Source organism: Homo sapiens, chromosome 3, assembly GCF_000001405.40.
Source record: "Homo sapiens chromosome 3, GRCh38.p14 Primary Assembly".
Taxonomy (NCBI): Eukaryota; Metazoa; Chordata; class Mammalia; order Primates; family Hominidae; genus Homo; species Homo sapiens.
This window is the reverse complement of record NC_000003.12, coordinates 66,548,002-66,559,203: the sequence shown is the minus strand read 5'-3', so window position 1 is coordinate 66,559,203 and position 11,202 is coordinate 66,548,002. Positions and strand designations below refer to the sequence as shown.

Here is an 11,202-nt window from a genome sequence, read left to right as displayed (position 1 = left end):
CCCCATTCAAATCTTAACTTGAATTGTATCTCCCAGAATTCCCACGTGTTGTGGGAGGGACCCAGAGGGAGGTAATTGAATCATGGGGGCCAGTCTTTCCCGTGCTGTTCTTGTGATAGTGAATAAGTCTCACGAGATCTGATGGGTTTGTCAGAGGTTTCTGTTTTTGCTTCCTCCTCATTTTCTCTTGCTGTCGACTTGTAAGAAGTGCCTTTCACCTTCTGCCATGATTCTGAGGCCTCCCCAGCCTAAGAATGTGGAACTGTAAGTCCAGTTAAACTTCTTTTTCTTCCCAGTCTCAGTTATGTCTTTATCAACAGCATGACAAGGGACTAACACAAATGGTGTCGTCACAGGTCAATGAGTTGTCACATGAAAAATGCTTAACACAGCGTCTCACACATATTAAGCACTATGTTCATATTATAATTGTCATTGTTATTACTAAGTATTACATCTGAGAATGCCAAGTGTCTGCTGAACAATTTTTTAAAAATCTTTTTGTAGAAATAGGGTCTTGCCATGTTGACCAGGCTGGTCTTGAACTCATGACCTCAAGTGATTCTCCTGCCTTGGCTTCCTAAAGTGCTAGGATTACAGGCATGAGCCACCATGCCTGGCCAAACAATTTTAATATCTAAATCTTACCCGAACACCTGACCATCCTTCAGAGGTGATAGCAATAGCTGAGTGGGCATTTTATGTGAGCTAGTGATAGGGGAATGAACTAGCAATACTCCCTTTATCCATTCTTACCAAATTCCACCATTGTTTAGGGACATAACCAGGTGGCTTGAACTCATTTTTCCCAGAACAACAGTGGCATGATGCCAGCAGGCCCACTGTAGGTGTGTCACTGGTAGAGGAGCTAATTTTGTAAGAAACATGCCTCCAGTCTTCCGGTATTCATGATTTCTTCACATGGTTATGTGTGGATCCAGATGGTCGGTCTAGCATCCTGTATGCCTCTGCTTCACATTAGTTCTTAACTTTGTCAAACCAATACCAGGAAAGATACCATGAAGCTCTCAGTGTCCACATATTCACTGGGTAGAGAAGTCTTCCTCAGAGACTGCCGTCTTCCTCTTTGTCTTTAAAACCTCATCTGTTGTCTGAACATCTGTATGCAGCTTTGACATGAGGCATTTGGGGATTTGAGTTGATTTCTGAAGCTAAATATCCAGTGGGACCCAGGTGAGTTACTTCATGTCACTACATTTCCTCATCCTTAAAATGCAGCCTTCTTTTATAGAATCAAATTCTTTTTTTTTTTTTTTTTTGAGACGGAGTCTTACTCTGTCGCCCAGGCTGCAGTGCAGTGTCAGGATCTTGGCTCACTGCAACCTCTGCCTCCCAGTTTTAAGTGATTCTCCTGCCTCAGCCTCCTGAGTAGCTGGGATTACAGGCATGCACAACCATTCCTGACTAATTTTTATATTTTTAGTAGAGATTACAAAGTGTTGAGATTACAGCTGTAAGCCACCATACCCAGCCTCTAGAATCAAATTCTGTCTGGTTCTCTTCCATTCCTATTCAGTTATTTAGTAATAAAATCAGTGTTCCAGCACATTTCAGGGCTTCGTGCAAGTGGATTGCACTGAACTGCACTGGTCCTCAGCCAAATTTTATGCTCCCTTTTCATAAATACCTGAGTAATATTTAAACCCAAGAAGGCAGGGAAAAAGCAACAGAGACCCAAAGGGAGTCAGCCAAGAACCTACGTGAGTTGTGTATTCGGAGTGGTGATCCTACCGTCCTGGAGCATAAATCTTAAACTGCGGATCTGTTCTTTTTTGTAGACTCCACACCGGACAGCTTGACAACCACTTTAACGTCCAGGTCTCCCTAGGCAAAAGTAGTCCAATGCGCAATGAGGTGTCCTGTCTTGTGTAATGTTCAAGAGCTTGGCACCAACATGTCTATTTTCACCCTTCCTGGAAGAAATCAACCCTTTTCCCCATCTACCCACTCTCAATCTCAGGCAACAGGCTGCACACTTCCCCTAGTCTTGACAAAAATGTTAGCAAGAAGTGCGATCTTGAAACCATTCCTTTCCATCGGCCTGTGCTCTTTTCATTGTTTCTCCAAATATATTATCCATGTGGCCCCGAAAAGTGGAGCATGCAGGAGGACTTTGGATGGTACCTAGATAACCTTTTCAGTAAGAAGTTCCTTTTACTACATTTCAGATTTTTAAAGGTGAAAAAAATAATTATAGTGATACAGATGAGTTTTCTTTTCTTTTTTTTTCTTTTTCTTTTTAGAGATGAGATCTTGCTCTGTCACCCAGGCTGAAGTGCAGTGGCACAATCAGGGCTCACTGCAGCCTCGACCTCCTGGGCTCAAGTGATCTCCCCACCTCAGCCTCCCAAGTAGCTGGAACTACAGGTGTGTGCCACCATACCCAGCTAATTTTTTATTCTTTTTTTTTTTTTTTTGTAGAGATGGGGTCTTGCCATGTTGCCTGGGCTGGTCTCAAACTTCTAGCCTCAAGAAGTCCTCCCTGCTTAGCCTCCCAAAGCACTGGGATTACAGGCATGAGCCACCAAACATTGCTGAATTTTCTTTTTTTATTGTGAGTTAATTCCAGTAACAACAATGTAATCTGAAGTACCTTTCTTAGTAGCCAACATCGATGGAATGCTGGGGATGTTCCAGGTAGAGCTGGCAGGGCTTTGTAAGCACCCTCCTCACAACCCTCCATGGTAGATAGTATTATTCTCACTTCACAGATGAGGAAAGTGAGGCTCAAAGACAGTGAAGCAACTTGCTCAGTTATTGTATCAGAGCTGCCTTCGACTCTGCTACTCGCTCTTTTTTTTTTTTTTTTTTTTTTTTAATGAAATGGAGTTTTGCACTGTGGCCCAGCCTGGAATATGGTGGCACAATCTCGACTCACTGCAACCTCTGCCTCCCGGGTTCAAGTGATTCACCTGCCTCAGCCTCCCAAGTAGCTAGAATTATACCTCCACACCCAGCTAATTTTTTTTTTTCTGTATTTTTAGTAAAGGTTGGGTTTCACCATGTTGGCCAGGCTGGTCTCTAACTCCTGACCTCAAGTGATCCACCCATCTCAGCCTCTTAAAGTGCTGGAATTATAGGCATGAGCCACTGTGCCCAGCCTATTCTGCTCTATTGATACACTCACTTTAAATTGTTATTCATTGAAATGAAGCTCCAAAGCAATGGAATTAAGACTCAGCGGGTTTGCTGTTGGCCTGGGAATCTGTATATTTACCACATCTCAGCAGATGCTGCTGCACCTCTCTAGGTAGATCTGTGACAGCCTCTGAACCAGATGATCTTTACAGTCCCTTCCAGATGGAAAAGACAGCAACAAACATATCTATTGAGCACAGTGAGCCCTGAACACTAAACTGGGCATGTATTGGGCATATGGGCAGAAGGAAAAGCCCCAGCTCCTTCTGGCTTCCACCCAGCAATCCTTCTCTAGAGAAGCCAGGATTCAGTGGAAATTCAGCAACGGTGAGCACTTGACTTATTCCCCTAGGGATATGGCGTATTAGTCACCCCATAAACATTTAATTATATTTAGCTATATTTTATAAGCTGGCACATTATCAGAGCTGTCTCTCTCTGTTGCCCCAAGTGCCACTGTTTGAAAGTACCCATAAGACCTCTTAACGTTATGTCCCTCTTGGCTTCTGGTAAAACATGGGCATATACAACAAAAGAAACTAGGAAAGGCAGATGCTGCTGAGTTAGCCAAGAGTGCTTGCAGAAACCCCTTGAAGAAGGAAATATGTGTGTCATTCAAGTGCGGTGTAATTTTCAAAGGATGTTACCCTAATGATGTGCATAGAAATGCCTGGGGACCCTGTTGACCACACACATGCACAGACACACCCACACACCTGCACTCAAGAGAGGGTGATTCTATCAGTCTGGGCTAGGGCCCTGGAATTAGCATTTTAACATTTCATTGCAATATTAATGTACAGAAAAGTACAAAAAGTAGACACCTCAATTAATTTTCACACCCATGCAACCAGAACCCAGATCAAGAAAGAACACTGCCAGCACCCTAGAAGTCTCTTTTTTTCCCTTTATCACTACTTCTCTCCAACAGTTACTGTTTTGCTTTTTTTGTTTGTTTTTGTAGTTTTGTTTTTTTTTTTTTTTGAGACGGAGTCTCACTCTGTCACCCAGGCTGGAGTGCAGTGGCACGGCGCGATCTCCACTCACTGCAGCCTCTACCTCCCGGTTCAAGCGATTCTCCTGCCTCAGCCTCCCGAGTAACTGGGATTACAGGTGCGTGCTACCATACCCAGCTAATTTTTGTATTTTTAGTAGAGACAGGATTTCACCATGTTGGCCAGGATGGTCTCAATCTCCTGACCTCATGATCCGCCCACCTTGGCCTTCCAAAGTGCTGGGATTACAGGCGTGAGCCACCGCGCCCGACCCCAACAGTTACTATTATTCTAATTTATAACCCATGCATTAGGTTTTACCAATTTCTGTATTTATAGAAATGGAAATATATATTGTACACCCTTTGGTGTCTGACTTATTTTGCTTGACCTTGTATTTGTGAAATTCATCTATGTTGCTGCCTGCAGTTACAGTTTATTCTTTTTCAGTGCTGCATAGATTTTTCATTGTGAATGTAATGCAATTTTTAAATTTATTCTAAGACTGCTAATGGGCAATTGGATAGATTTCAGTTTGCAGCTATTGTGAATAGTGCTGCTATGATCATCCTAGTACATGTCTTTTGATGAATAAATGTACACTGTTCTATTTCTAGGGATGGAATTGCTGGGGGAAATCATCATTTTTAACAAGCAACTCAGGAAATGCTGACTCATGCTGACATTTAAGGACCACACAAATAGACAAACAAGTAAGTTACCATTTACCAAGATTGTTAATCAGGCTTGGCTTACACATCAATACAGGAGGTATAAATTGTGTCCAAAAACCCTTACAGTCTTATTGAGAAAGCGAAACTTAGACTTACTAAGTATATATTGAAGAAAACATTTTACACAAAATAACTCAGAGAGCCAATCCAAATATTCTTGTCTAGAGCAATATACACATATATAGAACAAAGTTGCAAAGTAGCTTCCTATAGGAAAGACACTCATTATGTTTCGTTTAGTTTGGCATAAATAATGGGGGGTTTTGTTTGTTTTTTGTTTTGGTTTGGTTTTTTTTGAGAGTAGGTCTTACTCCGTCACCCAGGCTGGAGTGCGGCGGAGCAATCAGTTCACTGAAGCTTCAACCTCCCAGGCTCAAGCTATGCATCCACTGCAGCACCCGCCCCTGCCCCCTCCCCAAGTAGCTGGAACTATAGGCGCATGACACCATGCCTGACTAATTTTTCTATATTTGTAGAGATGGGGCTTTGCTCAGGCTGGTCTCAAACTCCTGGGCTGAAGCGATCCACCTGCCTTGGCATCCCAAAGTGCTGGGATAACAGGCATGAAACACCGCACCCAGCGATGTTACAAAAATCAAATGATGTCACTTTAAGTCTTTGTTTTTTTGTGTCTCTTGAAAAATTAAGCTCTCGCAACACTGGGTCCTCATTCCTGAATGGCAGTAATTGGCTGGAGCTGAGCAACAGCTGTCTCCTCAGATGGGACATGTGGTCTCCAGGGCACCAGACCCCCACTAATTCCTGTTGTCTTACCCTGGCCTCCTTCCCTCATTCGCTGCTTGATTCTTGTGGGCATTTGGCTTTCTAGTTCCTGGTCTAGGGAATTACATTTTTTAAACATTTTCCTGTAGGAAAATGTTCTGTCCTCACAAGAACCCTGCAGGTTCTCCGAGGCCTAGTAAGATTATGCCCATTTAGGGGCTGAGGAAATTGAGGTTTCAAGAGTGATTGAACAAAGTGGCATAACTAGTAAGTGGCGGTTTTCTATTTCCTAACGCAGAGGGCTATTTGGAGAAATATTTTTAAATCGTATGTGTGCTTTTTTTATGTTAAGTATCAACTGAAATAAATCAAGATAGGTGCAACAAGATGTTCATAATAAAGTTCAGCGAATTTTTTTCTTTTTTTGAGGTATCAGTAAGGGAAAAGCTCTGTGGACTAAAGTGGTCACAGACACATTTCCCCCAAGGATGCAGGATTTCACCTGAGCTGTGACACATGACCGGGAAGAGGGGGAGGGCGATAGCATTCCAAACAGGGGCTCAGCTGCAGCAAAGACAAGGAATGAGAAATAGGCAGGTCTGAGGGGGAGACGCACAAGACAGAGGCTCAGAGGTATAGTGGGAACTGAGTCTCCTTACAGTTGCTGGCTGTGTTGCCTTGGGCAAAGGGCAACACAGTTGGTTTGTTGGGTCGCTTTTAAGGTAAATCCCTCCCTAGGTTTTGAGAGGACTAAAGGAAACGATGTATGCTAAGTTAGTTAGTTTATTCATCCTTATTAGGAAGAACAGCACAGTACTGACTGGCAACCACATAAGAAATGATCACTATTGTGCTCTTAATATCACAGTGTTGATGGCTGGCTTGCCAGAGGTTGGCAGTACAACGAGGAGAAGAACTGAGTAGCTCCCCAGGGAGTCCGATCTTGAAGCAAGATCTTCATCTGTATGCCGTACCCCTCAACCCTACCCAAACCTCACTGCTCTTTAACTGTAGGTGATGGGTGTTTTATCTGAACTCTCTTCCTCAGTATTACTCTTTAGTTTGCTCTTGAAGTCACTGTTAAGAAGCATCATCCACTGGGTAAAATATATTAAGACAAAATCTTCCTTCAGATGCACCCACTTTGGAGCTTGCGCTGTCATGAGTCTAGTAGGCTTTGATGCTTAGGAAGGGAGGTCATGTGGTATAGTGGAATTAGAGTGGATTCTAAGATCTGACATAGGTTTGATTTCATGAACATCTTGCTGTGTAGCCTTGGGTGAGCCATTGAAACTCCATGTTTCAATTTTCATTGCCTACAAAATGAGAAAAATAATACCAACCACTCAGGGTGATTGTGAAGATTCAAGATAAATATATATAAAGTGGCTGTCACATAGTAGGTGCTCAGCTCATTGTCATTATTGTTGATCCAGTGTAAGATCTTTATCCAAAGAGCCTCTGAATTTACTCATACTTAATTTTCTGGGAACTTCCCCAGGCACAGGCACAATATTGTAAATACACTAAGGGCTCAATCGTATCAGCTGACTTTCTGGTCCCATCTGCATTGCTTAAAAAGCTGTGTGACCATAAGCAAGTCCCCTAAACCATTTAGGTCTCAATTTCTACAACCATGGAATGGGGGAGGGACCCTGTATAAACTCTAGCATTAACATTTTTAAAAGGCTACATATAACACAAAAAGAACAAATAGCATTTTTTTACATTTTTATTTTATTTATTTATTTATTTATTTATTTATTATTTATTTATTTTGTTTCTGAGACAAAGTCTCACTCTGTCACCCAGGCTGGACTGCAGTGGCATGATCTCAGCTCACTGCAACCTTCATCTCCCAGGTTCAAGTGATTCTCCTGCCTCAGCCTCTCAAGTAGCTGGGATTACAGGTGCCCACCACTACACACAGCTAATTTTTTGTATTTTTAGTAGAGATGGGGTTTCACTGTGTTGGCCAGGCTGGTCTCAAACTCCTGACCTCGTGATTCACCCACCTCAGCCTCCCAAAGTGCTGGGATTACAGGTATGAGCCACCACGCCGGGACAATAGTAAATTTTTAAAAGAAACTGTTTTAGGCCAGGCACAGCAGCTCACTCCTGTGATCCCAGCACTTTGGGAAGCCATGGTGGGTGGATCACTTGGGCCCAGGAATCCAAGACCAGCCCGGGTAACATGGGAAAATCCTGTTGCTACAAAAAAAATACAAAAGTTAGCTGGGCATGATGGCACATGCCTGTGGTCCCAGCTACTCAGGAGGCCGAGAGGGGAGGATCATCTGAGCCCAGAAGGCAGAGGTTGCAGTGAGCTGAGATCACGCCACTGCACCCCAGCCTGGGAGACAGAACAAGACCCTGTCTCAATGTAAAAAGAAAAAAAAACCCAAACTATTTTACCAATAAGAAGTCCAGAGCAGTAAGGAGGTTGCAGGATTGTTTCCCAGACTCAGCAATGTCACTGAGGAGGTCGGTGTTTTTCCTGTCTTGTCTCTGCCATCTTTTGTATTAATGACAAAAACCTACTGCAGCTGCAACCATCACATTTTTCCCCAGGAATATCGAAAGGCCGTAAGGAAGGGCAGTTTCTCCTCATGCATTTTTTATATCAGGGATAAAAGGGTTTTTTTCCTCCCAGGATTTCTCTTGAGCTCACTGGCCACAGTTTCACCACCTGGAAAAAGAAATGGAATTACCATGATTGGTTAGGTGAAGGTGTCTAAAACATGGTACTATTGACATTTTGGACAAGGTTATTCTTTATTGTGGGGAGTGCCTTATGCATTATATGAAGCATCCCTGGCCTCTATCCACTAGATGCCAGTGGCAACCCTTTTGATAATAAAAAGTGATAATAAAAAAGTCTCCGATATTGTCTAGTATCCCTGATAGGGCAGAATGGCCCCAGTTGAAAACCACTAATTTATACTAATCAGCACTTAATCCTCCCTGGAGATGGGGAAGGATAACCTTCCCAAAACACATAGCAAAATTAATACCTGACATCATTAGGGTCCTGCCAGCAAGGAATAAAGCAGAGGGCTTGAGAGGAACACAGAGGGTGACACTTGGCTCTGTCTGATGCAAGTGACGAATTGGTAAAACAACTAGAGGTACCCATTCTGGAAGCAATACGATTTCAGATAAGAGAACTGATAGCTAATTCCAAATGTTGGTGGCACCAGCCTACAGAAGGAAAGGAGAACAGAATGAACACTTACTGAGGATCTCCAGTTACCCATCCTTTGCTGGATTCTTCATATGAATTTTGCTTTTAATTCTGAGAGCACTACAGTGAAAGACTAAGGCTTGCGTCATTTGACTCCTGGAGGGTTATGACCAGGGAGCGGGCAGATACTACATTCACTTTTTCTTGTTCCACAGACCCCTTTGGTAGCCTGGAGAAGTCTGCTGGATCCCATATTAGAATAATGTTTTAACTGCATAAAACAGAATATCAGTATAGTGAAAGGATACAGGTGAGTTTTTTCTCACCGAGGACTTAGGAAGAAGGTTGGAGGGATTCAAGAGGGATTCAAGGTTCGTATGAGTTTGGACCTTTAAAAGCCCCTCCAGTTTATTTGTTTTAATTCTTATTTTTCTTTCCTTTTTTTTTTTTTAATTGAAACAGGGCCTCACTTCGTCACCCAGGCTGCAGTGCAGTGGCACGATCTTGGCTCACTGCAACCTCTGCCTCCCGGGCTCAAGTGATCCTCCCACCTCAGCCTCCCAAGTAGCTGGGACCACAGGTATGCACCACCACACCCAGCTATTTTTTTTGTATTAATATTTTTAGTAGAAATGGGGTTTCGCCGTGTCACCCAGGCTGGTCTGGATCTCTTGATCTCAAGCGATCCGCCCTCCTCAGCCTCCCAAAGTGCTGGGATTACAGGCGGGAGCCACTGTGCTCAACTAATTCTTACTTTTCTAACTATAAAATTAATGTACCCTGATTGAAAAACAATGAGAGAATATAGAAAAGTATAGAGTGTTCATATTCCCATCACCCAGAAACAATCACCATTGACATTTTAGTAAGCCCTTCCAAACTTGTGTATTTTTATACATCTGTTCATATGCACGGGACATACATAGAGATATACTTTTTCCACCAAAAGGGAACACTTCATAATTATTTGCAACCTGCTCTGTTTCATTTAGCAGTTTGGGAACATTTTTCCAAGTTAGAAACTTTTATTCTAGACTGGGAACAGTAAAGTATACTCCACAAGCCAAATCAGGCCCTCTGCCTTCTTTAGTAAATAAAGTTTTATCAGAACACGACCATGCTCATTTTTTTGCATGTTGTCTGTGACTGCTTTCACATTACAAACAGGGAACTCAGTAGTTGTGACTGAGACCATATGGCCCATAAGTCTAAATTTTTATTATGTGGCCCTTTATAGAAAAAGCCTGGGGACCTATAAGCGAGATCACGGATTTTAAACCTGAGGGTTTATGAATTTGGGTTGGCGGGGAGACTACATCTTTATTTTTATCAATTCTAGCTGCAATTTAACATATCTTTCAAATTCTTGGTATAGACAATAAATCACAGTTGTGTTAGCAGCACCTGTGAATTTGTCTCCACTAAAAACCATAAGTATTAATATACCACGGAGAGTTTGTCACAGGTATCTTGATGTATTTATGTTTACCACTACTTGAAAAATATAATTATTAGACCTATTACTAGATCTTTTTATGTTATGCCTTTAAAAAGAAGAATCAGCTGGGCACCATGGCGCGCGACCGTAATCCCAACACTTTGGGAGGCCAAAAGTGCAGGAGGATCACTTGATACCAGGAGTTCAAGACCAGCCTGGGCAATATGGTGAAACCTCATCTCTACCAAAAATACAAAAATTAGCCAGGTGTGGTGATGTGCGCCTGTAATTCCAGCTACTCGGGACGCTGAGGTGGGAGGATGGCTTGAGCCTGGGAGGTTGAGGCTGTAGTGAGCCGTGATTGCACCACTGCACTCCAGTCAGATCCTGTCTCAAAAAAAAAAAAAAAATCACATTTATTAATACATTACAAAAAAAATTTAGTATTCTGATTATTTTATTTCCATGTATCTGTTTTCTTCACATTCCTATGTATTCAGTTTTACACCATTAAAAACATTATTCTGAGAAGATATTGATTACATTTATCCAGATTGCCAAAGGGGTCCATGGAACAAGAAAACGTTAAGAATTTCCAATCTAGGTAATTTTTCATGACTGTCTGTTATTTCACTGTTGTTGGTATTTAATCAATACGTAGGCTATTTCCAATTTATCATTCCTATTTTAAAATATATTATTGTAATTATTTTATAATAGATAATTGTAATTGTTTTAAAATAATTTTTTAAATCCCATGAGGTATGCAAATCCATATACTCTTGTCTAAGTAAACATTTACTTGGGATAAATTCCTTCAACTGAATTGTTGGATCAGTGGTGAGACCCTTTCTTAAGTTCCTTGATACATGTTGCCAAGTTTTTTGTTTTGTTTTGTTTTGAGATAAGGTCTCACTCTGTTGCCCAGGCTCAAGTATGGTGGCGCAATGAGGACTCACTGCAGCCTCA

The 11,202-nt window shown here is 42.0% G+C and overlaps 2 annotated features.

Annotated features, from left to right (window-relative positions):
- Nucleotides 4,297-5,496: an enhancer, noted in NCBI's record as "MED14-independent group 3 enhancer chr3:66604132-66605331 (GRCh37/hg19 assembly coordinates)". NCBI's record gives its function as "activates an origin of replication core promoter dependent on BRD2, BRD4, P300/CBP and CDK7 cofactors, and independent of MED14, by STARR-seq in HCT116 cells {active_cell/tissue: HCT116}" and the evidence as "EXISTENCE:reporter gene assay evidence [ECO:0000049][PMID:35650434]".
- Nucleotides 6,025-6,319: a silencer, noted in NCBI's record as "tiled region #1089; HepG2 Repressive non-DNase unmatched - State 24:Quies, and K562 Repressive non-DNase unmatched - State 24:Quies". NCBI's record gives its function as "represses a minimal TATA promoter and a strong SV40 promoter by Sharpr-MPRA in HepG2 and K562 cells {active_cell/tissue: HepG2 | K562}" and the evidence as "EXISTENCE:reporter gene assay evidence [ECO:0000049][PMID:27701403]".